The following is a 26462-nucleotide window of genomic DNA, read 5'->3' on the forward strand; positions in this document are numbered from 1 at the left end:
GTACTTTTAAAAAATGTTATGTACTCATCACTGGATTTCAACAATTATCAACAAACGGGCAATCATGTTTCATCTGTACATCCACCCTCCACTGGATTATTTTAAAGCAAATCCCAAATATTCTGTCACTTCCTCTGAAATACTTCTGACGTATCGTAAGGAGTTTTAAAAACTTAATCATAATGCCAATATCATGCTAAAAAATTAGCAAAAATGCCTTAATACCATCAGCATAGTCAACCAGTGTTCACATTTCTCTAGCTGTCTTAAAAATTGAAAAACTGGACCAGAGCAATTGGGCAAGAGAAAGAAGTAAAGGGGATCCAAATTGGAAGGGAAGAAGTCAAGTTAGCCTTGTTCACAAACAACATGATCTTATACCTAAAATAACCCAAAGATTTCACCAAAAAACCATTAGAACTGATAAACAAATTTGGTAAATTTGCAGGATACAAAATCAACATCCAAAAGTCAGTAGCACTTATATATGTCAATAGCGAACAATCTGTTAAAAAAAATCAAGAAAGCAATCGCATTTATAATAGCTACAAAGAATATTAAATACCTAGGAATCAATCTAACCAAAGAAGTGAAAGGTCTATACAAGGAAAACTATAAAACTCCAATGAAAAAAATAGAAAAGGACATACAAAAAAGTGAAAAGATATTCCATCCTCATGGATTGAAAGAATTAATAGTATTGAAATGACAATACTATCCAAAGCAATTTACAGATTCAATGCAATCGCTATCAGAAATACCAATGACATTCACAGAAATAGAAAAAAAAATCCTAAAATTTATATAGAACCACAAAAGACTCTGTATTGCCAAAGCAATCCTAAGCAAAAAGAACAAAGTTGGAGGCATCACACTACAAACTTCAAAATATATTACAAAGCTATAGTAACCCAAACAGCATGGCACTGGCATAAAAACAGACAAATATACCAATAGAACAGAATAGAGGACCCAGATATAAATCCACACATTCATATCCAATTCATCTTTGACAAAGGTACAAAGAACGTACAATGGAAAAAGGATAGTCTTTTCAACAAATGCTGCTGGAAAAACTGGATAAACTATATGCAGAAGAATGAAACTAAACCCCTATCACTCAGCATACACAAAAATCAAATCAAAATGGATTAAGATTTGAATGTAACACCTGAAATTATGAAACTACTAAAAGAGAACATTTGGAAAATGCTCCAAGACATTGGTCTCGGGCAAGCAAAGATTTTTTTGTGTAAGACCTCACAAGTACAAACAACAAAAGCAAGTGAAAATAGACAGATGGGATTACATCAAGCTAAACAGCAAAGGAAACAATCAACAAAATGAAGAGACAACTCACAGAATGGCAGGAAATATTTGCAAACTACCCATTTGACAAGGGATTCATAATCAGAATATATAAGAAGCTCAAACAACAGCAAAAACAAAACAAAACAAAATACAATCTGATTTTTAAATGGGCAAAAGATTGGAATAGACATTTCTCAAAAGAAGCCATACAAATGGCTAACAGGTATATGAAAAAATGTTCAACATCACTAATCACCAGAGAAATGCAAATCAAAACCACAGTGCAGTATCATTTAACCCCAGTTAAAATGGCTGTGTCAAAAGAAACAAAGAGTAACAGATGCTGGTAAGGATGTGGAGAAAGGGGAACCCTCCGTCTTACACTGCTGATGGGAATGTCAACTGGTATAGCCCCTATGGGGGACAGTATAAAGCTTCCTCAAAAACCTAAAAATAAAACTACCAAGTGATCCAGCAATTCCACTACTGTGTATATATTCAAAGGAAAGAAAATCAATATACCAAAGCGACATCTATGCTCCCATGTTTATTGCAGCACTATTCACGATAGCCAAGACATGGAAGCAACTGAAGTGCTCATCAACAGATGAATAAAGAGAAAGTAGTACACACACACGATGGAATATTATTCAGCCATTAAAAAAAAAAGCCAGGAGCGATGGCTCACACTTGGGAGGCAGAGGCAGGATAATCTCTTGGCGCAAGAGTTCAAGACCAGCCTGGACAACATAGGGAGACCCCATCTCTACTATATTAAAAAAAAAAAAAAAAAGCCAGGCATGATGGTGTGTGCCTGTAGTACCAGCTACTCTGGAGGCTGAGGGGAGGATTGCTTAAACCTGGGAGTTCAAGGCTGCAATGAGCCGTGATTGCACCACTGCACTCCAGCCTAGGCAGCAGATCGAGAAAAAAAAAAGAAAGAAAGAAAGAAAGAAAGAAAAGATCCTGTCACTTGCAGCAACATGGATGGAACTGGAGGTTGTTCTGTAAAGTGAAATAAGCTAGGCACAGAAAGACACATATCACACATTCTCACTCATACATGGGAGCTAAAAACGCGGCTCTCATGGAGAGAGAGTAGAATGTTGGTTACCAGAGGCTGGAAGGGGAGCAGGGAGGGAGGAATAAAGGGGAAAAAAAGAATATAAATGTATTTATAACCACTGAACTGCATACTTAAATATGGTAAAGAGGTACTGACCATTTTTGATATGGGTTAATAAAAAGGAATAAGAGCAAAAAATTTAAAAAATGATAAAGAGAGCAAATTACATAGGTATATTTTACCTCAATAAAAAGAAAAAAGAAAAAAAACTTGAAAAATTGGCTTCAAATCAGGATCCAAACAAGCTTCACTCATTGCATTTGGTGGCTGTGTCTCTGCAGACTCCTTCAATCTACAAATTCCTCCTCTTTTTTCCTCCTTGTAGCTTTTTTTTTCCCCAAGAAACTGAGCCATGTGCCATCTAGAGTTCCCCGCATTCCAGGCCTTGTGTGGCATCTCTGCAGGGTCTTTCCACAGGATCCTCTGTCTGACCTCGTTGGCTGGTAGATCTAGAGGCCTCCTTTCCCACGCTGGGGTGTGCAGGTGAGCTACCTCACAGGTGGCAGGCGCTCCCTCAGCATCAAGATGGGAGACAGCGAGCCTGCTGGCTTCTCTTTTCCTGAGCCTGGAGAAAGGTTTCAGGTGTCTCACCTGGCCATCATTTTAGGGCTTCCCATCAGGTTTCTGCCTGAGGGCTTTCGCAGATATTGACCACCATTGCTGGGATCCATTTCTTCTTCAGTATCCATTATCTATCTATCATTCCTACTGAATTTATTAGCTAGAATTCTTTCTAAAGTGAGTTGACTCAGTTTTTCTGTAAAGGGCTAGATAGTAAATATTTTAGGCCTGATGAACCACATATAGTCTGTCGAATCTTTTTCTTTTTTTATTGCTCTTTAAAAATGTGAAAATCTTCCTAGACAGTAGGCATTACAAAGACAGGCTGCAAACCAGATTTGGTCCATGGGCCATAGTTTGCCAACTTCCATTCTAAAAAGAAGAGAACTTTTCCTCATCCACTATCTGGTTGCCTTAAAGTATTGTATAACTTGGACAAGAGAGGTGGGATTCTTTTCTTTTAGTTCTCAACTTCAGAACGATGGTTTGAGGCCGAGCTCATGCCTGTATTCCCAGCACGTTGGAAGGCTGAGGCAGGAAAATCACATGTGTCCAGGAGTTCGAGGCCAGCCCGGACAACATGGTGAAACCCTATCTCTACAAAAAAGTACAAAAATTAGCTAGGTGTGGTGGTATACATGCCTGTAGTTCCAGCTACTTGGAGGGGGCTGAGGTATGAGGATTGCTTGAGCCTGGGAGATCAAGGATGCTGTGAGCCATGATCACACCATTGCATTCACCCTGGGTGAAAGAGTGAGAATCTGTCTCAAAAATAAATAAATAGGCCAGGCACGGTGGCTCACGCCTGTAATCCCAGCACTTTGGGAGGCCGAGCGGGCGGATCACGAGGTCAGGAGATTGAGACCATCCTGGCTAACACAGTGAAACCCCGTCTCTACTAAAAATACAAAAAAAAAAATTAGCCAGGTGTGGTGGCGGGCACCTATAGTCCCAGCTACTCGGGAGGCTAAGGCAGGAGAGTTGCTTGAACCTGGGAGGCGGAGGTTGCAGTGAACCGAGATTGCGCCACTGTACTCCAGCCTGGGCGACAGAGCAAGACTCCATCTCAAAAAAATAAAAATAAAAAAAAAATAAAAAATAAAAATAAATAAATGAAAATAACAGTCTGGCGCCCTTATGTGCTCCAAAGGTGATTAATTGGACACCTCGTGTCACCAGCTCACCTGTTCTCGGCTCACCGTTCCCTCCAGGCGCTACTACAGCTGCCAACTTTGCTCAGGTGAGACTTGGCTGCTCCCGCATCCGCTGTACCTCTTACTTTTTCTTTCCTGTCCCAGGACTCCTAGGACACTGTGATATGTGACAATTGCAGAAATCTGAAAGACACTTGCAACTGGGCTGCCTGGAAGAGTGGGGAAGATAATGCCCCGTAGGGCAGTCCTTGACCAATAGAAAACAAAAGCCAGGGGGAGGTAAACGTGTTCCCCTTTGTCCTTAAGTGAGCAATTTTGAGGCATATTTTAGATGGTTCCACCAAAGGTCCTGCAAGAATATGGCCCACAGTCATAACCACCTCAGCACAGCACCCTTGTACTGGCTTCCCTCCTTTCCTGTTCCTCCCTCCTGCCCCTGGGGTCACTTTGAAATTGAACTACCTAACGTTGTTCTGCCCGGCCACGGTGCTCCCAGCCACTGGTGAGGGATTTGCTCTGCTACCCACTCTGGTAGCAGCTTCACGGTTCAGGGACAGCTTCATTCAGATGTTCCCCAACTGATGCTACAAATTCATCTTCAAGTGGGCAAAGCTTCTCAGAAATGTAGTGATTTTTGCCAGGTGTGGTGACATGTACCTGTAGTCCCATCTACTCAGGAGACTGAGACAGGAGGATCATTTGAGTGCAGGAGTTCAACATTGCAGTGAGCTATGATAGTGCCACTGCAGTCTAGCCTGGGCAACAGAGCAAGACTCCAGCTCTAAATAATAATAATAATAATAATAATAATAATAATAATAATAATAAAGAAGAAGAAGAAAGGCCAAGTGCGGTGGCACATGCCTGTAATCCTAGCACTTTGGGAGGCCGAGAAGGATGGATTGCCTGAGCTCAGGAGTTCAAGCCTAGCCTGGGCAACACAGTGAAATCCCATCTCTACTAAAAACACAAAAAAATTAGCCAGGCATGGTGGCATGCATCTGTTGTCCTAGCTACTCAGGAGGCTGAGGCAGGAGAGTTGCTTGAACCTGGGAGGTGGACGTTGCAGTGAGCCGAGATTGTGCCACTACACTTCAGCCTGGGCAACAGAGCGAGATAAGAAGAGGAAGAAGAAGAAGAAGGAAGAAGAAGGAAGTAGAAGGAAGAAGAAGAAGAAGAAGAAGAGGAGGAGGAGGAGGAGGAAGAGGAAGAAGAGGAAGAGGAAGAAAAGAAAGAGGAAGACAAAGTCTTACATTCTATTTTGTCTGATATTAATACAGAAACTTCAACTGTCTTATGGTTACTGTTTGCATGGTATAATTTTTTCCATCCTTTTGCTTTCCACCTATTTATGTCTTTAAATCTATGATGTTTCTATTATAGACAGCATATGGGTGGGGTCTTGCTTTTTCATCCAGTATGACTGTCTCTGTCTTTTGAGGTATCTAGTCTATTCACATTTAATAAAATTCCAGATATGGTTGGATTTATGCTGCCACTTTGCTATTTGTTTTATATTTATCTCCTGTCTCTTCTGGTCTGCTTTACTGCCTTATTTTATGTTAAATGTGTTTTCATGAACTACATGGATTTATCTGTTGATTTTCTTTCTTACTATTTTTTTTGAGTTTTTTCATTAGTGATTGCTCTAGGGATTACAATGCACATCTTAATTCAGCACAGTCTGTCAAATTTGGTTTTTTGTTTTTTTTTTTTTTAGATGGAGTCTTGCTCTTTCGCCAGGCTGGAGTGCAGTGGCACAATCTTGGCTCACTGCAACCTCTGCCTCCTGGGTTCAAGTGATTCTCCTGCCTCAGCCTCCCAAGTAGCTGGGACTACAGGCACGTGCCACCACGCCCAGCTAATTTCGTATTTTTAGTAGAGGTGGGTTTTCACCATGTTGGCCAGGATGGTCTCGATCTCTTGACCTCGTGATCCAACCGCCTCGGCCTCCCAAAGTGCTGGGATTACAGGTGTGAGCCACCGCACCTGGCCCAAAGTTACTTAATTTCAGTAAAATATAGAAACCTCGGCCAGGTGCGGTGACTCAGGCCTGTAATCTCAGAACTTTGGGAGGCCGAGGTGGGCGGATCACCTGAGGTCAGGAGTTTGAGACTAGCCTGGCCAACATGGTGAAACACTATCTCTACTAAAAATACAAAAATTAGCCGGGCATGGTGGCGGGTGCCTATAATCCCAGCTACTGGGAAGGCTGAGGCAGGAGAATCACTTGAATGATGGTTCAAGCGAACGGCGGAGGTTGCAGTGAGCCAAGATCATGCCACTTCATTCCAGCTTGGGCAAAAGAGTAAAACTCTGTCTAAAAAAAAACCAAAAAAACAAAAAAACCCGCTCGCTCCAATTTGTATTTGTCTCACTCCAACTGTACAGTATTATGATGATGCTTTATTTAATATTACGTATTTTTTAAAAGGCAAGAGAAGAACTAGAGTCTCTTTAGTCTCTTTACAGACTTTAATATTTACCATTTCTGATATTCTTCATCTCTTGTGAATTGAAGTTACTATCTAGAGTAACTTTCAGCTTGAAGAATTTCCTTTAGTGTTTCTTGTAAGGCAGGTCATTAGCAACAAATGCTTTCAGTTTTTATCTGGGAATGTATTTATTTTACCTTTATTTTGATATTGCTGGATATAAAATTCTTGGTTGACAGTTTGCTTTATTCAAACATTTGGAATATGTCCTTCCACTACCTTTAGCTTCCATTTTTTTTCTGATGAGCAGTCAAGTCATTAATCACATTTCCCTTGTTGCTTTCAAGAATAAGAAAATACACAGGCCAAAATATCACAGATTTACACTGTTCTTACTTAAAGTTTAGTAATTTTAATTAATAAATGCTTCTCCGTTTGCTGTATGCCTTTGGTCTATTATTTCCAGAGGCCTGCAATGGTTATTTTTGACAGTTTTGTCCAGTATCATTGTGGCATTTAAGGGGCAAGATTTGTTGACCTCACTCCGTTGTCATGTCAGACATGAGAAAATGGTTTGTTGGGTTTTTTTTTTTTTTCAGATGAAATGAGAGGTCACTGAGATGTATTAAGCGGAGAAGGGAAATAATCTGTTTGTGTTTTAAAAGACTGCTTTAGACACTCATATTAGTTAATTATTGCTGCACAAAAAATTACCCCAAATTGATTTACTTACAACAACGCACATTTATTATGTCATAGTTTCTGTAGGAATTTTGCAAGCAGTTTAGCTGGATGGTTCTGACTCAGGGTCTCTCATGAAGTTGCAAGTGGTATGTCAGCTGGGACTTGACTGAAAGTGGAGAATCCACCTCCAAGCCCACTTACTTAGCTGCTGTAGGAGCCCTCAGTTCCTCACTATGGGTTTCTCCATGGGCCTGTTCACAGTGTGGCATCTGGCCTCCTCCAAAGTGAGTGATCTGAGAGAGTGTGGCCAAAATGGAAGTCCCAGTGTCTTCTTATGACCTAGTCCATGAAGTCCCCCACTGTCACTGCCTTATTCATTAGAAGTGAATCACTAAGTTCAGCTCACACACAAGAGGAAAGACATTAAGCTCCGCCTCTTGAAGAGAGGAGTATAAAAAAAGTTGTGGATACATTTTGTAAACCATCACACTGCTGTTTGGAGAATGGACTGTAATAGAGAACAGAAAGATGAGTCAGATCAGTCTGTGGCTACTGCAGCCACCCAGGTGAGAGCTGGTAAGAGCCTGAACTAAGACAGTGGCATAACGATGGAGACAAGTGAATAGATTTGAAGTAGATTTTGCACGTGGATCTGATGCAGAATTTGCCTTGGGTTGAATAGGAATCATGGGGGAACAGAAGTTACAAATGATTTCCAGGTGTCTGGTATTTGTAACTAAGGACGTGGTGGCCCCATGTCCTCTCTCTCTCCCTTACTCTCTCTCTCTCTGGCCTGCCCTTTCTTTCTCCCTTTCTCTCTCTCTCTCTGGTCTGGCCTCTCTCTCTCTCCCCTTACTGTCTCTCTCTCTCCTTTTGATGTCTGCACTCCAGCCATTTTCTTTACTGTCATTTCTTATTTTCTCCACTGTACCCTATTCTCTTTGTCCTCCAGATTGAAGTCACAAGTCTCAGCTTAAACATAATTTCCCTGGAAAGGACTTCTTGACCTCTTTCTGAGGTCGCTGCATTTTTTAAAAAAAATTGTTAGAGATAGCTTCTCTTTTCTCCTTTTTTGCCATTAGCACCAGATGAATTGTGTCTCTGATTCAGCTATATCCCAGCACCTGACACCTAGTAGGCACTCAGTAAGTATTTCCTCAATGGATTAAGTGAAACCAACTTCTAATTTTCATAAAAATTCTCCACCAGAATTCTTCTTTTTCTTCTTTTTTTTTGGTGGGGGTCAGGGGACAGAGTCTTGCTCTGTCACCCAGGCTGGAGTACAGTGGTGTGATCTCACTTCACTGCAACCTCTGCCTCCCAAGTTCAAGCGATTCTCCTGCCTCAGCCTCCCAAGTAGCTGGGACTACAGGCACCCGCCACCACACCTGGCTAATTTTTGTATTTTTAGAAGAGACGGGGTTTCACCATGTTGGCCAGGCTGGTCTCAAACTCCTGACCTCAAGTGATCTGCCTGTGTTGGCCTCCCAAAGTGCTGGGATTATAGGTATGAGCCACCGCACCCGGCCCAGAATTCTTCTTAAACAGGAAAATGACTTTAGAACTTAAATGACTTTAGGAGTATTTAAGCAATGCAAGCTAATCTGGACAATCTAGACAAGGCTTTGGAAAAAACAACAGATCCACAATATCTCAGGAGGCAAGACCTATAGACCCAACTACTTTTTTTTTTTTTTTTTTTTTTGAGACAGAGTTTCGCTCTGTCACCCAGGCTGGAGTGCAGTGGCATGATCTCGGCTCACTGCAAGCTCCACCTCCCAGGTTCACACTATTCTCCTGCCTCAGCCTCCTGAGTAGCTGGGACTACAGGCGCCTGCCACCATGCCCGGCTAATTTTTTTGTATTTTTAGTAGAGACGGGGTTTCACCGTGTTAGCCAGGATGGTCTCGATCTCCTGACCTCGTGATCCACCCGCCTCGGCCTCCCAAAGTGCTGGGATTACGGGCCTGAGCCACTGCGCCCGGCTGACCCAATTACTTTTAAATCATTGTGACTTATAGGCTGAATGTAATGGTTTCATTACGGGTTGTTAATCCATTTAACAATAAATGGATTAACCAACCTGTTGGTTGAAGGAGAAGTGAGCTGAATAATCCCCAATTCCGTAGGCACAATTAGTTATACATACATTAATTGGTCCGCTTTCAATTCTGGCACTATTTTTTAAAAAATCTAAGAGGAGAGGTAGGAGGAGTTTAACAGCCATCTATTCTTTCCAACATTTTGAGAAAGCAAGTGAAAATGAACCCTGAAACAAGCCAACAGCAGGGGCACTCATTAACTTAATACACTTTAATCTTGTGAATAGAAGCTGGAGCTGGATCCTTTGAATCGGAGCTGCAGACTTCCACCTCCAACCACCTGCAGGACATCTCCGCATGGGTGTTCTGTTGGCACCTCTAACTCAGCACAACCCAATGAACTCATTATCATCCCATGGAGAAACCTGCCCTCCTCCTGGGTTCCCTGTCTCAGCCATGGGCCATCCCCAGGCACACAAGCTGGGGGTCACAGCAGCATCTTCCCTGCCCCTGTTCCTGGCCCCCATCTCCCACCCCCAAGGCTGTTGTATCCTCTGGACTTGACCCCAACTTCACAGCAGTTAGCCACAGCTCCTTCTCAGCAACCCCCTCCATTAATGCTCACGGAAGCTTCTTAATTTACATTCTCACCTTCTCACTTCCTTCTGTAAGGCCCCCTCAGCTAGGAGAAATGCCTTTGAAAATTCAGATATGTCCTTTCACCCGCTCAGAGCAAGAAAAAAAAAATCCAAACGTTTCATCTTCCTCATAATGATGCATACTTGCTGAGCACCTACCATGTGCAAGCTCTCTGCTCAGTGCTTGGCATACCTCATTACATTCAATCCTTAGAGATGGCCCTCAGTTAATACAGACCTAACTCCCTCCCAAGATCTGGCCCTCCCTGCCTTGCCCACCTCATCTAGATTTCTCCTTGGCCTGCCAGGTGCCGCTCTCAGTGGCCTTTCTGTTCCAAGTACGCATGCCTGGCCTTTGCCCTGGCAGTTCTGCTCTCTGGAAATGCTCTTGCCTGGGTCTTAGCTAGCTTGCCCCTTTCATGACATGACTCAGTTCAAATGTAAGCTGCTCAGCAGCCATCTCTGATCTCCCCAAGAAGATTCTATTATCACAGAATACTAGCACTGATCACCTTCTGTCTTTATCTTATTTGTTCCCCCCACCCCCTCCCCCCATTCAGCTCCTTCAGTAGAATGTAGGCTCTACCCGGACAAGGATCAGGTCCAACTTGTTCACCGAGCTCCAGGGAGCAGCGCAGTGCTGGGCACTTAGGGAACACTCAATAAACATTTGTTGAATAAATGAAGACATATTCCCTGATAAGTTCTCCAAAAGTAGTCACTATTATCAATCTTCTGGAGCTCTTTTCTCTAATACTCTTTCCTTACTGACATGGGCATTACCTTTCTTTTTTTTCTTTATAGACAGGGTCTCACTTTGTCACACAGGCTGAAATGCAATGGCACGACCATAGCAAACTGTAACCTCAAACTCCTGGGCTGAAGCAATCCTCCTGCCTCAGCCTCCCGAGCAGCTAGGACTACAGGCGTGCATCACCATACCTGGCTGGGGGCGGGGGAAGGGGGGGGGCGGTGTCTCGCTATGTTGCCCAGGTTGGTCTCAAACTCTTGCCTCAAGCAATCCTCCCACCTTGGCCTCCCAAAGTGCTGGGATTACAGGTGTGAGCCGCGGCGCTCAGCCACGGGCGTTACCTTTCAAAGCATCCAGATTTTATGGCGTTAATCTCCCTGTTTAAAATTTTCTGTGATTTGGACACAAAGATGGGAACAACAGACATGGGGTATTCCAAAAGGCAGAAGGTGTGGAGGGGGGTAAAGGCTGAAAAAGTTGCCGAAAGGATTAGAAGCATCACGCAATATACCAATGTAACAAACCTGCACACGCACCGAATCTAAAATTAAAACAAAACAAAAACACAACAACCAAACAAAAACCTTTCCGTGATCATCAGGAGGCTGTCATATTCTCACCCCCTACTTCACGCTGGGAATCGAGCTGCGGGCTTTACAACAGCGTCAGCTGCTCCCTTTGGCAACGACCAGAGAGGTCCTTTCTCCAGAGATTTTTGTCAGCTCTGGGCACTTTTGCTTTGTGGGCCTATCTTCCACTTTATAAAAAATTAAAAATGCTACTTTCCACTGCATTCAGTACTTTTTCTTCTCTTTTCTTTTTTCTTTTCTTTTCTTTCTTTCTTCTTTCTTTCTTTTTCTTTTTCTTTTTTTTTTTTTTTTTGACACAGTTTCACTCTGTTGCCTAGGCTGGAGTGCGGTGGTGTGATCTTGGCTCACTGCAACCTCCACCTCCTGGGTTCAAGCGGTTCTCGTGACTCAGCCTCTTGAGTAGCTGAGACTACAGGCGCCCGCCACCATGCCCAGCTAATTTTTGTGTTATTAGTAGAGAAGGGGTTTTACCATGTTGACCAGGCTGGTCTCGAACTCCTGACCTCAGGTGATCCGCCCGCCTCGGCCTCCCAAAGTGTTGGGATTACAGGCGTGAGCCACCGTGCCCTGCCCTTTTTATGTATGTATTTATTTATTTGAGATAGGGTCTCGCTCTGTCGCTCAGGCTGGAGTGCAATGGTGCGATCTTGGCTCACTGCAACCTCCGCCTCCCGGGTTCAAGCGATTCTCCTGCCTCAGTCACCCGAGTACCTGGGATTACAGGCGCATGCCACCACGCCCGGCTAATTTTTGTATTTTGAGCAGAGACGGGGTTTCACCATGTTGGCCAGACTGGCCTCGAACTCCTGACCTCAAGTGATCCGTCAGCCTCGGTCTCCCAAAGTGCTGGGATTACAGGCGTGAGCCCCCACGCCCGGTCGCGTTTAGTACTTTTTACCAAAACTAAAAGAAATTAAAACACTTTCGTGGGTCCTGGACACTTCCGGAAGGATTTGTTTCCAGCTGCCAGATGAGGAAACTGGGGCTCGCAGAGCCGGCGCCGCAGGGGAGGGGCTGTGCACGAATCCAGTGGGAAACCTCTCTCCGGAGCTAAGCCCCTGGTCCACCCGGGCATCGCTCCGGGATCGACTGGGGGCGTTCCTTCCGCCGGTCCCCTTTGTTCCCAGTGCCGAGCCCGCGGCCCTGCCCTTCCTCCAGGCCCCGCCCCTTCTTCCAGGCCCCGCCTCCCGCCCGGGCCGAGGCGCGCGGCCGCGCGTGCGCCCGCCCGCCCGTCCCCGCCTCGCGCATGCGCCGCGCTCGCTCGCGGGAGGGCATGGCGGGGGCCGTGCCGGGCGCCATCATGGACGAGGACTACTACGGGAGCGCGGCCGAGTGGGGCGACGAGGCTGACGGCGGCCAGGTGAGGCGGGGCACTGGGCGCACCCTAGAGAGAATCGTTCGTCTCCGCCGCCGGCGGGCCGGCCCCACTCCCGGAGAGGCCGCGCGGCGCGAGGCTGCGGGCGTGCGGGGGGTGTGCGCGCGCACGGCCCGCGCGGTCACCGTGTGGTTCAAGCACAGCCCGCCCCGCCCCCGCCCGCCCGGGGTCCCGCGGCGCGGCCGCCGGGGTCCCCGCCTCCTCGCCTGCAGGACCTTGGGGTGGGGGTGAGGCGCCGGAGGCTCTGGCGCGGGGCGGCCCGAGGCCCCCAGTACCCCCTCGCTCCGGCCAGGCCCGGCGCCGGCCCTGCGACCCCCGCGGCGGGCGGGACACCAACGCTAAGGTGGAGGGTTGGGTCCGGAGCTCACAGACTTTTAAACAAAAATAAAGTGGAAAAACTTCACAGCAGCATCATGAGGAAAAAGTAGAACTTAGGGCATTCCTACATGTGCTTTACTGTTTTATAAACTGTACTCTTCAGCACCTTGGGCTGATTTCATCTGTTTTTGGGCAAACTGATGGAAAGGATTTTCGGGCCTTGACCTTCCAGGGTTTGGGGTGGAAGCCCAGGAGGGATCACTGTTCCACCCTGAGGACAGGGACTGCAGAGCCAGGGCAGGTAGCTCTAGTCTGGACAGTGTGTCCCCACCTTACTCTAAAGACCCAACTGAGGCGCATGATTGAAATGTAGCTTCTCACGTCCCTCCCCTGGAGACGGCCCAACAGTTGGTCTGGACGGGAGCCTGGGAACTTGCATTTTTTTTTTTTTTTTTTTTTTTTTTTTTTTTTGTGGTGGAGTTTCGCTCTTGTTGCCCAGGCTGGAGTGTAATGGCGCCATCGCGGCTCACTGCAACGTCTGCCTCTCGGATTCAAGCGATTCTCCTGCCTCAGCCTCCCGAATAGCTGGGATTACAGGCACCCACCACCATGCCCAGCTAATTTTTAAAATTTTGAGTAGAGAGGGGGTTTCACCTTGTTGGCCAGGCTGGTCTCAAACTCTTGACCTCAGGTGATCCACCCACCTCTGCCTCCCAAAGTACTGGGATTACAGGCGTGAGCCACTGCTCGTGGCCCAGGAACTTGCATTTTTAACAACAATCAAGATTGGGGATGTCTGGTGCATTTTGAAGTGGTATTATAAGGGAATAAAGGATGAAGTGGGGCTTACGTTGATAAACATGGGTGGTGGTGTGATGGCGGCTTCGGAGCCATGGTCTAAAATGCCAAGGCGGGCGATGTGTTTCTGGAACTGAAAGAAGCCCTGTGATGTTAGCTGCCTGGTGGAAGCAGTGGCAGGAGGTCAGTAGGGAGCAGGTTCTGAAGATCCTTGGAGAGCTGCTGAATGGTATGGCTTGTTCAGGAGTTTGGGGCAGGGAGTGACACGAGTAGATTTGCATGTTGGATCATTTCACAGTGTTGGAGGCTTAGGGTGGAGTGGATAGAGTCAGACTTAGCTAACTGAGAGCTTGGGCCATGTGTGTCATGCGTTATCCCCTTCCACACACAGGATTTTGAGTTGGGTGTTACCCTACTTATCTGGTAAGTGTAGAAAATGAGACGAAAAGACTTACTGACCTGCCCAAGGTCATGAAACTAATAAAGGAAGGAGAGGGGACCCAAACCCACATCCTTTGCCTCCGTTGCCACTTCGTCAAATTGCTGACTACCAAAGTGGTCCAGATGAGAAGGTGTGAATTAGCTTAGTGGTAGGTTGGTGTTTGGGGCATCTAGTATATCACCTTGAGCCTTTTTTTCTTTTTTTTTTTTTTTGAGACAGAGTCTCGCTTAGCTGCTCAGGCTGGAGTGCAGTGGCTTGATCTCAGCTCGCTGCAACTGCCATCTCCTGGGTTCAAGCAATTCTCCCGTCTCAGCCTCCTGAGTAGCTGGGATTACAGGCATCCGCCATCATGTCCGGCTAATTTTTGTATTTTAGTAGAGACAGTGTTTCACCACGTTGGCCAGGCTAGTCTTGAACTCCTGACCTCAGGTGATCCGCCTGCCCCGGCCTCCCAAAATGCTAGGATTACAGGCGTGAGCCACCGCACCCGGCCTTTTTTTTTTTTTTTTTTCTTTGAGACGGAGTCTCACTCTGTCACCCAGGCTGGAGTGCAGTGGTGCCATCTTGGCTCACTGCAACCTCCACCTCCTGGGTTCAAGTGATTCTCCAAGTAGCTGGAATTACAGGCCGGTGCCACCACACCCGGCTAATTTTTGTATTTTTAGTAGAGATGTGGTTTCACCATGTTGGCCAGGCTGGTCTCGAACTCCTGGCCTCAAGTAATCTGCCCGCCTCCGCCTCTCAAAGTGCTGAGATTACAGGTGTGAGCTACCGTGCCCGGCCTCACCTTGAGGCTTTGAGTCATAAAGTGTTAGAACTGGGGCATATAAGGGCCATCTAATCAGTACCTTCACTTTATAGACCAAGCACGTGAGTTATTTGCCCAAGTTTGTGCAGTCAGACCTAGACCCCACTGATGGGAGATTGGGGAGTCTCATGTTTGGGGAATTTTAATCATGATCCTAATTTGGCCCACTGACACCAGTGGGCTCTCATGGATGAGGGGGGTGGACCAGACGTTCATTTCATGTTTATTCTGTGACTCTGCTTGGAAGAGGTACAGAAAGTTAGGAAAGGTGTTAGGAGGGTGGCAAGAACTGGATTTTAAAAGATAGTTGGTGACCCAAATTCTGTTCGCCTGATGCCATGTTACATAGTGGGAGGTAGGAAGATGTGTAAGGAGGCCACCGTGATGTTCAGTCTGGATGGTGGAAACTAAGAGCTGCAGACATGCAAATAGATGAGTCCTGCTACAGATTGCAAATGGGGAGTGGTGAGAGGTCAGAACGGACAGGGGAAGTGGGAAGGGCACGCTCTTGCTAGAGCTGGGGCGTTTTTTCCTGAAGGAGATGGGAATCTTTAAGCAGGAGAGAGACGTCAGTTTTGTGGCTTACAAAGATCACTGTGGCCACGGTGTGAAAGATGATTGAAAGGAAGGAATAAGACTGAGACTTCAGGGGAATGTTGCTACTGCAAGCATACAAAAAATAAGGAAGAGCAGAGGCAAATGTGGAAAGAAGGACCACCTTGGATAGACAGATGGGAGATGGAACTGATGAGTCTTTGTGACAGGATGTGGGGGTGGGGTGAGGGAGAGAAGCTGAGGATGATTTTCAGGTTTGGGGGGTAACAAGTAGATATATGAAGGATACCTTTACGGAAATATGGGTTGTAGGAAGAAGATCTGTTTCTAGGGAAGAGATGTCAGTTTTGGACCTAAAGAGTTTGGATACTTGTGAGACATCTGACTGGAAATGAGAATGGAATGTTGGATACCTGAGTCTGGAGCTTAAGAGAGGAAAGACGGAGAGAGAGATCCAGGCTAATTCTAGATTGGTGAGCAGGTAGATAGCATGACCCAAGAGGTGGTGGAAGAGGCAGGTAGGTGAGTGCCCAGGGTGGAAGCCCAAGAGAACAGACAACGTGGGAATGAAGCTCGGGGTGAAGTCCGGCCTCTGTCATGCCCTTAGGGGCTCAGCGTTCCCCATGCAAATCTGGTCTGAGAGAAGACTCCACAGCTTTTACTGGGAAGTCATCGGGTTCTGTCTGCTCCCAAAGCACTGCTTTTAGGATCTTAGTCCAGATCAGGAGTGAGCAAACTTTTCTGAAAAAGGCTAGATAGCAAATATTTTAGGTTGTGCCTGTCTCTGTCTTAACTACTTACCTCTGCCCTTACAGGGGGAAAGCAATCATAGACAGTCCTTAAAAGAATGGGTGTGCTGTGTTCCGTAAAAGTTTATTTGCAAAAATAGGAGAGGGCTGGATTCGGCTCTGGGTCATAGTTTGCTGACCCCTGGCCCAGCTCTTGCCCCATTATGTTAGAGTAGGTTGCATGGAGGTCTGTCTCTCCTATTAGTTTGTGAACTTCTTTGATGGAAAAAGCCTTGTCTTGTCTTACATTTTCTTAGGTTCCTTGGTTGATGAGCATAGTGCAGACTGAATGTTCAAAAAGCATCTGCTTGTTAGTTAGGGTGGCAGTGTTAAAGTTGGACAGGGTTTGGGATCACAGTCCATCCTCACATGGTCATTAGCAGGTGAAGAAGCCTGCTTTGCCCTTAGATGGAGTGACAGGCCTGAAGTTGCTTCCACATAGAATTGGGACTGGAGTCCAGCCAGAAGTGTGGATGCAAGGCGAGTTAGTGGTCTTTACTTTCTAATGGTAAGTGATGGCTCACGCTTTCAAGAATCAGGTTGTTACTCTTCAGTGGCATGTATGAAATAAGAATAGTGAAAACAATAATAATAATAGTTTACTATTTATTGCACTGTTACGAAATGTCAGGGATTATGCTGGGTTCTTCCAAAAATTAGCTCATGGAATCCTCACAACAGCCAAATGGGAATAGGCGTTATTATTATCTTCACTTAACAGAGGAGGAAATGGACACTCAGAGAGGTTGGGTAACTTGTGTGAGCATGGAACGCGGTTTGCCAGGGAGGAGTTGTACACACCCACTCAGTGTGATCCTGGATCCCATTTTCCTAGCCACTCACTATCTGTCCAGCCCATTTCATGAAATTGTCATGAAAGTCAAATGAAATAATGTGTGTAGAATACTTTCAAAATGGGCAGCATTATACGATTTAAGGTGAGATTAGGGTATTTGTATTAATGAAAAAAATATCCTGGCTCTTCGCATTTACCAACAGCAGGAGGATGATTCTGGAGAAGGAGAGGATGATGCGGAGGTTCAGCAAGAATGCCTGCATAAATTTTCCACCCGGGATTATATCATGGAACCCTCCATCTTCAACACTCTGAAGAGGTATGTGAGAAAGGTGTCTGTATTGGGAGGAGGCTGGGGGTAATTTAGAGAAAGTTTTGTAATACACCCAGAAGGTGCTATGTAAAGCAAGAGTAACGCGAACTGAACTAAAGGCTTCAAGGGGGGGTCCCCTCTGCCACTTTTTTTTTTTTTTTAAATTTTTTTAAGACAGAGTCTTGCTCTGTTGCAGTGGCACAATCACCGCTCACTGCAGCTTCAGCCTCCTGGAATCAAGCAGTTCTCCCACCTCAGCCTTGCAAGGTGGCCACCACAGGCGTCTGCCATCATGCCTGGCTATTTTTGTTTTTGTTTTTTGGGAGAGACAGGGCTCCTTACGTTGCCCTGGCTGCTCTTGAACTCCTAGGCTCAAGTGATTCTCCCACCTCTGCCTCCCAAAGTGCTGGGATTACAGGTGTGCACCACTGCACCCAGCCCCCTCCGCTGCTTTAAAAATTTTGAAACCTGATTCTCTTCCTCCTTCCTTACCTTCCTGTTGTCCATCATTCCATTCATTCGGGTGTAATTGCTGTTGTTACTTTCCCTAGGTATTTTCAGGCAGGAGGGTCTCCAGAGAATGTTATCCAGCTCTTATCTGAAAACTACACCGCTGTGGCCCAGACTGTGAACCTGCTGGCCGAGTGGCTCATTCAGACAGGTGCTTTGTGGGTGTCCCCTGTCCTGGCTAGTTACCCCCACTTTTTTAAAAATAGACTTTTGGGTCCTTATAACACTGATACAATGCCTTCTTTGATTTCCTGGTTTCTGAGACTTGTGTAAGAAAGAGCTGAACTTCTTACTCATTTTTATCTTTATCTTACTCATTTGTATCTGCTTGCCTCTTATCTTTGATTCAGTAATTGAGGTTTACTGGTAGCCTGCAAACGTGATTCTCATTGAGCTGTTTTCCCTACCATGTTGTAGAATTATAGGATTATACAGTGTGTGTTCAGTGTGTCATTTTCAAGACGTCTATTACAGCAAGCAGTAAATGACGGATAATTTAGGACTGGCTGTGATTATGGCTTTTAGTTAATATGATCAAAGTAGAGTCTTACTGTAAATCCACGGAGCCGGGTGCAGATGACATCACTGAAGTGCGTGCTGTCCGGAAGCTTGTGGACACACTGCTGTCCCGGTGATTAGATACAAGTGTGTCTCTTTTGGCTGCCATCTGCTCCCTCCTCACTGGGCAGGGATGTTTTTCCATCCCCCTACCTGTTGCTGGGGCCATTTGTCTTTATCCTCAGTGAGGCTCTGCAGATGGTGCTGTCCTTTCCATGAAGTTAGGGGTGGACCAGACTTGTGTGTTCTGTTCTGTGCTGCTTTTTGGTCTTATCATTGATAACTACTTTGAAGAGTTCCAAAACCTTACATGTATAAGTGGTCAGAAGCAATTCTTTGGTATTTGATTCACATAGAGACTTTTGACCATTTGCTTTCTAAAGCCACACAGTGAATGGACAGCTTGCCATTGTCTAGTTGCTTTTATTCTCTTTCAGGTGTTGAGCCAGTGCAGGTTCAGGAAACTGTGGAAAATCACTTGAAGAGTTTGCTGATCAAACATTTTGACCCCCGCAAAGCAGATTCTATTTTTACTGAAGAAGGAGAGGTGAGAAATTATTTTTCTTTGCCTAGTACCAGGCCCTAGGGTCTTTTGCAAATTCCCTGTGTACAGTGGAGCGTGGCATATCATGTAAGTAATGGCAGAGTTGAGGACTAAAATCAGAGTGTGAGACAGAAGTTGCATCTAGTCAGAATTGCCCTTTAAACTCTGTACCCAGGGTCGTGACATGCTTGCACGCAAGAGGCACACAGGTGCTGAGATCAAGAGAATGAACAGCAAGTTCCCACCATTTCCCCTCTCAGGCTGACTCCAGGGCACAGCCCTTGGAGTGTTGTGGTGGATTCGTTTGGTTCCTCCAAGAAGCAGCTGCCAAGACAGGGCTAGGCCTGCAGGAGATGATGGGGAAGCGACTATGAGGGAAGATGGGGTAGGGCTGGAGGAGGCTGGGGTAGCTGTGATGCAGTCTGACCCTTGAGGGCAAGAGAAAAGGAATGAGGGTTAGTAGGAAGAATGTTAGGCTGCAGTGCAGTTTCCAGAACGTTCCAGCCATATCAGTGGGGAATCTTTAAGCCACAGGTGCCCATTCTGGGAGCCCACGTCTCCTGGACAGGCCTGCTTTTGAGGCCCTGCTGCATTCCATCTGTGGCTGGGAGCAGCCTCGGGGAGCTGGCCTTGGCACAAACAGGATGGCAGGTTCAGAGCACAGTCCTTGAGGACATCCGTCACATAGGAGAGCTGAGAGAAATGTTTTTCTGGCTACTCCATGTGGTGATGGGCCAGAACACCTGTGCCATTTAAATGGCCTCTTTCTCTTTTGCTAAGGGCATACAAGCTGGGGCAGCATGAGCTCCCTGTGTGTGCAAGGCAGCTCTATGCGGTTCTCGGTGTCTCCTAGGAAGCAACTTTCAGTACCCTCCTGTGTTGAGTCCGATTTTCTAAAAGCTGAGCGGGCATCTAGGGACCTTTCTGTCACTCAGCCGACTGTGTGGCTGTGGCCAGCTCTGGGTCTGCCTCCCCCAGAACTAGATGCCCATGGGGAGTCCATCAGCACCAATCTCCTGTGATCGTTTATACAACAGAATCTCCACTCAAGTAAAAGTGGGGCCTCCTCCTATCTTGCTGTTTGTGTGTGTGTTGGCAGACCCCAGCGTGGCTGGAACAGATGATTGCACATACCACGTGGCGGGACCTTTTTTATAAACTGGCTGAAGCCCATCCAGACTGTTTGATGCTGAACTTCACCGTTAAGGTAGGAAGAGTTCTAGAGTTAAGGAGAAAAGTGTTTATGAATGTTTATTTTTGGTTGTTGGTCTGTTTCCTTTGACAGTTCATATTTGCTTTTTTTCCATAAAGGTCTTTATTGTTTTATTTTCATAAGCCTTACACTGAGAAAGAAAAGTGTAAAATTTGTATCTGTTTTTGGGTCAGTGTTGACTGTGTTTTAGGATTTAGCAGGGATACAAGAATTCTCTTGTGGTTGGAGAGGAGCTTTAGGCGTGCCTGCTTGATCTTCCTCTTGCATATGAAGAAACGATGGAGAGGTGGTCAGCCCAGGGCACACACCTAGGTGATAGCAGGGTGAGGGCGGAGTGAAGGCCTGAGACCCACGACCAGCGCACACTTACTCCACCTCACCATGAACACTGACAAGCCAGCTTCCCGTGGAGGTGCGGTCACTGCATGCCTCCCCTCTGACTTCTTGTTTTGTGTCCTAGCTTATTTCTGACGCAGGGTACCAGGGGGAGATCACCAGTGTGTCCACAGCATGCCAGCAGCTAGAAGTGTTCTCGAGAGTGCTCCGGACCTCTCTAGCTACAATTTTAGATGGAGGAGAAGAAAACCTTGAAAAAAATCTCCCTGAGTTTGCCGTAAGTTCTTTCTTTATGAACCTCAGATTAGAAGGAGGCTGCTTTGGGTCTTGGTTTTCAAGCATGAGATGCTCCTTCCCTGGAGAGAATCTCCATTTCTGAGGGCACCTTCCAGGATGCTCACTCCCGGGCCCGAGCACGGTGGAGGCTTGGCTCTCGTCCGCCCGTCTGTGCTACAGTAGTAAACCCTGCCCCCTCTCTCCCTGCAATCTTGCAGAAGATGGTGTGCCACGGGGAGCACACGTACCTGTTTGCCCAGGCCATGATGTCCGTGCTGGCCCAGGAGGAGCAGGGGGGCTCCGCTGTGCGCAGGATCGCCCAGGAAGTGCAGCGCTTTGCCCAGGAGAAGTGAGAGGCCCTGTTTCTGCTCAGCCCTTCCTTCCTAGTGCTCCCCACAAAACCCTTCCCATGGCCCGTGTTCCACAGCCAAAGCTGCTAGCTCCTTCTGTTCAACGTAGAGGTAAACTTGCTTTTGGCTGGGCGTGGTGGCTCACGCCTGTAATCCCAGCACTTTGGGAGGCCGAGGCGGATGGATCACCTAAGGTCAGGAGTTTGAGACCAGCTTGACCAACATGGAGAAACCCCATCTCTGGTAAACAAAAATACAAAATTAGCCGGGTGTGGCGGCACATGCCTGTAATCCCAGCTACTTGGGAGGCTGAGGCAGGAGAATCGCTTGAACCTGGGAGGTGGAGGTTGTGGTCAGCCAAGATTGCACCATTGCACTCCAGCCTGGGCAACAAGAGCAAAACTCTGTCTCAAAAAAAAAAAAAAAAATTAAAAACTTCCTTTTATCCAGCAGAGCTGGAAAAGTTGGAGTTGTTTTTGGTATACTTGGAGAGCTGGCTTTCTAAAGTGCTGCTTTGAGGACTGTTGTGTAAAGCACTTGATTCGTCTTCCCTTTGCTGGAGTTATGGGCCTGGGCTTTTACACTGGGGTTCTGAAGTAACAAACAAAGTCAGTCCAGAAATAGTTGCTCAGCAATCTCATTGTTACAGTGTCGCAAAATGAGCTCATATTAGCTTTATTTTCTGCTACCAATAGAGTGTTCCTAAGTATTTAAAGTGTGTGACTCCTTTCTTATAGAGCCAGCAAGCTGTATTGGAATCACTTTTCCAGTGTTGTAAATGTTATTTTTGTGGGTCAGTCAGTATACTCGTGAATGACAGAAAAACAGATCCCAACAATGCAAAGTATTATATGTGTAAAAAAGAACAGAAAAAAGAAGCTGCCTTGTTAGTAACGGGGTCTATGGTTTTTCTCATCAAGAGGTCATGACGCCAGTCAGATCACACTAGCCTTGGGCACAGCTGCCTCCTACCCCAGGGCCTGCCAGGCTCTCGGGGCCATGCTGTCCAAAGGAGCCCTGAACCCTGCTGACATCACCGTCCTGTTCAAGATGTTCACAAGCATGGACCCTCCTCCGGTTGAACTTGTAAGTTGCTTCTCAAGAATCCCCAATGTCAGCTGGTAAGGTGACTTTGGAAAGTCTGTGCTTGTCTGATTGTCTGAAGGCTGTGAATGCAAATCCATCATTGTCCTGGTCCTTCCTCAGTCACACTCTCTGCCTGGAGCCTGTTGGGCCCCTGCTGTGTAGGGAACCCTGAGGGGAGGTGGGTGAGCAGTGCCCTCACGCCTGCCATCCCGAACTGGGCATATGCTTCTCCTCAGATCCGCGTTCCAGCCTTCCTGGACCTGTTCATGCAGTCACTCTTTAAACCAGGGGCTCGGATCAACCAGGACCACAAGCACAAATACATCCACATCTTGGCGTACGCAGCAAGCGTGGTTGAGACCTGGAAGAAGGTACCATCGGTTCTGGGAATTTGTGGATTTTTTAGGAGACAAATATCCTCCTCTGCTTTGATATTATTTTGGAATTTTGGCTGCAAGAAATCTTGACCCTCCCTAGTATCAGGCATGTGTTTTCTTGTGTTTCTGCGTAGAGAAAGCACTAAACGTCTCCAGAAAATGTGCGTAATGTCTCCAATGCTCTGCAAACCGTAAATTGAAATGTGACTAAAGAAATGAAACTGATTTCCGTAAGACATGGACAAACACTAGTCTCATTGCTTTTCAGTTTCTGTACACTGTGTGACTGTGAAGTTTGACAGCTGAATTGACTCCCAACTTAAGTAGAAATAGGGAAAGTGCTTTGCAAGAAGTGGCCGACACCAGAACACCCCGACAGCAGGGATATCTGCCCTGTCAGGCTCACCAGCTTGTGTGTGTGTTTTCAGAACAAGCGAGTGAGCATCAATAAAGATGAGCTGAAGTCAACGTCAAAAGCTGTCGAAACCGTTCACAATTTGTGTTGCAACGAGAACAAAGGGGCCTCTGAACTAGTGGCAGAATTGAGCACACTTTATCAGTGTATTAGGTAAGCAAAACGAAACTCAGTTCTTAAATCAGTCCTTTGGGGAGGAGGTCGTTTGAGTTTTCATATTGAAAGCTCAAATAACAAAAGCTTCAGCGATACTTGTTCATTTTATTTATTTTTTCATTTTTAAACAGTATGTAGGGAACTTTAAACAGCTTTAGCAGCATGAGTAATTTTCAGATGTTTATTTGCCAGAAGTCTGTTGAGTACAAATTAGGCTAAGTAAAAGATAGCCAGAGTTAACAAAAATTGATTTGAAGGGTCTATTTATAGGTAAAGTTATGCCCACAAAGTATTGCTTACATAGAAATGATTTGTGATTATGCCAATCATATAAATAGACGTGTCCTAGAAATAGTGTGTCCTCTTAGGCATGTCTTTCCCCTAATAATTTATACTAGGGATGAAGAAAGAGTTTGCTAAATAAAGGTAAACTTCAACCCAGTCCACCAAACTCACTGAGTATCACTCATTAATGATCTTTTCCTTTCGATAAGTGGTTTAAAGTGAGCAGAGAATTGAACTCTGCTTCTTGCACCGCATGTTGAGTGGCTGCTGATCCATTCACACTATTTACTAATAAGCAGAGCTTACGCCAGGCACAGTGGCTCTGGCCTGGAATCCCAGCAATCTGGGAGGCCAAGGCAAGAAAATAGTTTGAGCCCAGGAGTTTGAGACCAGTCTGAGCAACATGGTGGACCCTCTCTCTACAAAAAATTAGCTAGACATGGTGGCACTCACCTGTAGTCCCAGGTACTCGGGAGGCTGCAGTGAGCCATGATTGTGTCATTGTACTCCAGCCTGGAAGACAGAGTGAGACCCTGTCTCAAAAAAAAAAAAAAAAAAGGGTTGGGGGGCGTATTGAAGGGTGAATGATGGAGTCATTTGAGTTTGTTTTTAACTTTCCTTTAATGCTTTTCTAGCATATTTTGTGTTTTAAATTGTTTTTTAAAGGAAGCATTCTGCCTTAACTGTAGGTTTCCAGTGGTAGCAATGGGTGTGCTGAAGTGGGTGGATTGGACTGTATCAGAACCAAGGTACTTTCAGCTGCAGACTGACCATACCCCTGTCCACCTGGCGTTGCTGGATGAGGTAAGAGGGCGGAGAGCTGTTCACAGCCTACACAGTGTCTGTCTCATGCTGTTTACGTTGGCATTAACATTGCATCTATTCAGTGAGTTTAGAGGATACTCTTCTCAAAAATAGTTATTTCTGTCCTGAGGATTTTCCTCTTAAGGACCTAGCTTCATTGACTGCAGAAATTTCTTAACCTCAGTCAAGTGTTACTGGAAGCTGATGGCCCTGGCTTAGGTGTCAGGACCTTCTTCCACAGTGATAAGCTCTTTGGTGGCTGTGACAGTGCCCAGTTTCTCTGTGTGCTGAGCGTGACCACACTGCTCAGCGAAGCTCCCTCTGGCCTGTTTGTAGATCAGCACCTGCCACCAGCTCCTGCACCCCCAGGTCCTGCAGCTGCTTGTTAAGCTTTTTGAGACTGAGCACTCCCAGCTGGACGTGATGGAGCAGGTGAGCAGTGCCCGTGGGGCTTGCCAGAGGGCTGAGGAGGACCCTCTCTAACCAGCTCCCTGTCCCCCTTCTTCTGTAGCTTGAGTTGAAGAAGACACTGCTGGACAGGATGGTTCACCTGCTGAGTCGAGGTTATGTACTTCCTGTTGTCAGTTACATCCGAAAGTGTCTGGAGAAGCTGGACACTGACATTTCACTCATTCGCTATTTTGTCACTGAGGTCAGCAATGCACCGTTGGTTTCATGTTTCATACTGTTTACACTAGCACTGCCCTTTTTGGCTTAATTTAGTTCATTTTGTACCTAACTGAGAACTGTGCTTTCTGATGTAGTGATGACAATGACAGATACTCGTTTACCAAAAAGCACCTTCTGCCTGCAGCAGCTGTATGACACACTTTACCTCCATTACCACCCTGGGCATCTGAATGTTGGAGATGGGTGGTGTCACCGGCCGGTGGGGGTGGGGAGGGATTTTTTCCAAACTGATGGCCATTTCACCCGGATGTCGGTGGATGCCCCGCACTAGTGTGCGGAAGAAGTCACCCTGTGCTCCCCCACGCAGGTGCTGGACGTCATTGCTCCTCCTTATACCTCTGACTTCGTGCAACTTTTCCTCCCCATCCTGGAGAATGACAGCATCGCAGGTACCATCAAAACGGAAGGCGAGCATGACCCTGTGACGGAGTTTATAGGTGAGGCCGACTGCCTAGCCCTTTACTACAATAGAAAATGTCAGCTGGGCGCGGTGGCTCATGCCTGTAATCCCAGCACTTTGGGAGGCCAAGGTGGGTGGATCACCTGAGGTTGGGAGTTCAAGACCAGCCCGACCAACATGGAGAAACCCCATCTCTACTAAAAATACAGCATTAGCTGGGCATGGTGGCACGTGCCTGTAATCCTAGCTACTCGGGAGGCTGAGGCAGGAGAATCGCTTAACCTGGGAGGCAGAGGTTGCAGTGAGCCAAGATCGCGCCATTGCACTCTATCCTGGGCAACAAGAGCAAAACTGCATCTCAAAAAAAAAAAAAAAAAAGAAAGAAAATGTCATGTTCTACTTCCTGTTTCTAACACAGTCACTGTTTTCCTCGTTAAAGCTCACTGCAAATCTAACTTCATCATGGTGAACTAATTTAGAGCATCCTCCAGAGCTGAAGCAGAACATTCCAGAACCCGTTGTGGAAAAACCCTTTCAAGAAGCTGTTTTAAGAGGCTCGGGCAGCGTCTTGAAAATGGGCACCGCTGGGAGGAGGTGGATGACTTCTTTACAAAGGAAAATGGTAGCAGCTTCAGTGAGAAACTGCCCTTACAAACAGTCCCTTCTCTGCTGTCAATCCAATACTGCTCCCAAATCCTGTTTTCAGTGTTCATTTCCCTCAAGGCAGGCGCTGGGCTCCCACGACCCCTCAGGACAGATCTGGCCGTCAGCCGCGGGCCGCTGGGAACTCCACTCGGGGAACTCCTTTCCAAGCTGACCTCAGTTTTCTCACAAGAACCCAGTTAGCTGATGTTTTATTGTAATTGTCTTAATTTGCTAAGAACAAGTAATAAGTAAATTTTTAAAAAGCCTTTCTGCTGGGTTGGATTAAGTCCTGATGTGACATTGTTTTTGTGTGCGAATAAGGCACGGGCAGC

General features: G+C 46.3%; 1 protein-coding gene across 2 annotated transcripts, besides 3 other annotated features; it reads left to right on the top strand.

The window, feature by feature from the left end:
* Nucleotides 12395-12874: a silencer, noted in NCBI's record as "silent region_13085". NCBI's record gives its function as "represses an Ori minimal core promoter by ATAC-STARR-seq in GM12878 lymphoblastoid cells {active_cell/tissue: GM12878}" and the evidence as "EXISTENCE:reporter gene assay evidence [ECO:0000049][PMID:35858748]".
* Nucleotides 12395-13297: a biological region, named in NCBI's record as "H3K27ac hESC enhancer GRCh37_chr20:57556569-57557069".
* NELFCD (negative elongation factor complex member C/D) lies at nt 12539-26396 on the top strand. 2 transcript variants are annotated; one of them, NM_198976.4, is made up of 15 exons: nt 12539-12652; nt 17376-17491; nt 18037-18146; nt 18991-19100; nt 20197-20304; nt 20771-20923; nt 21141-21271; nt 22193-22358; nt 22595-22729; nt 23164-23303; nt 24281-24395; nt 24732-24827; nt 24907-25047; nt 25393-25522; nt 25925-26396. In NM_198976.4, the coding sequence occupies exons 1-15, from the start codon at nt 12593-12595 to the stop codon at nt 25957-25959; spliced, it is 1746 nt and encodes a 581-aa protein (NP_945327.3). In that variant the 5' UTR covers nt 12539-12592; the 3' UTR covers nt 25960-26396. The 2 variants fall into 2 exon arrangements, with proteins under 2 accessions (NP_945327.3, XP_047296144.1); XM_047440188.1 differs by lacking the exon at nt 25925-26396 and having other exon boundaries at nt 24907-24958; nt 25393-25519.
* Nucleotides 12797-13297: an enhancer, noted in NCBI's record as "H3K27ac hESC enhancer chr20:57556569-57557069 (GRCh37/hg19 assembly coordinates)". NCBI's record gives its function as "activates a minimal SCP1, AML or CMV promoter by ChIP-STARR-seq in primed H9 embryonic stem cells {active_cell/tissue: H9 hESC(primed)}" and the evidence as "EXISTENCE:reporter gene assay evidence [ECO:0000049][PMID:30033119]".

Source organism: Homo sapiens, chromosome 20, assembly GCF_000001405.40.
Source record: "Homo sapiens chromosome 20, GRCh38.p14 Primary Assembly".
In the NCBI taxonomy this organism is placed as follows: Eukaryota; Metazoa; Chordata; class Mammalia; order Primates; family Hominidae; genus Homo; species Homo sapiens.

What these genes read in the sequence shown, in the direction of transcription:
- NELFCD (NM_198976.4), top strand. Translation starts at nt 12,593, where the DNA reads ATGGACGAGGACTACTACGGGAGCGCGGCCGAGTGGGGCGACGAGGCT. An exon ending in TGGTTGAGACCTGGAAGAAG is followed by an intron (nt 22,730 to 23,163) that starts GTACCATCGGTT and finishes GTGTGTTTTCAG; the next exon opens with AACAAGCGAGTGAGCATCAA. An exon ending in ACCTGGCGTTGCTGGATGAG is followed by an intron (nt 24,396 to 24,731) that starts GTAAGAGGGCGG and finishes GCCTGTTTGTAG; the next exon opens with ATCAGCACCTGCCACCAGCT.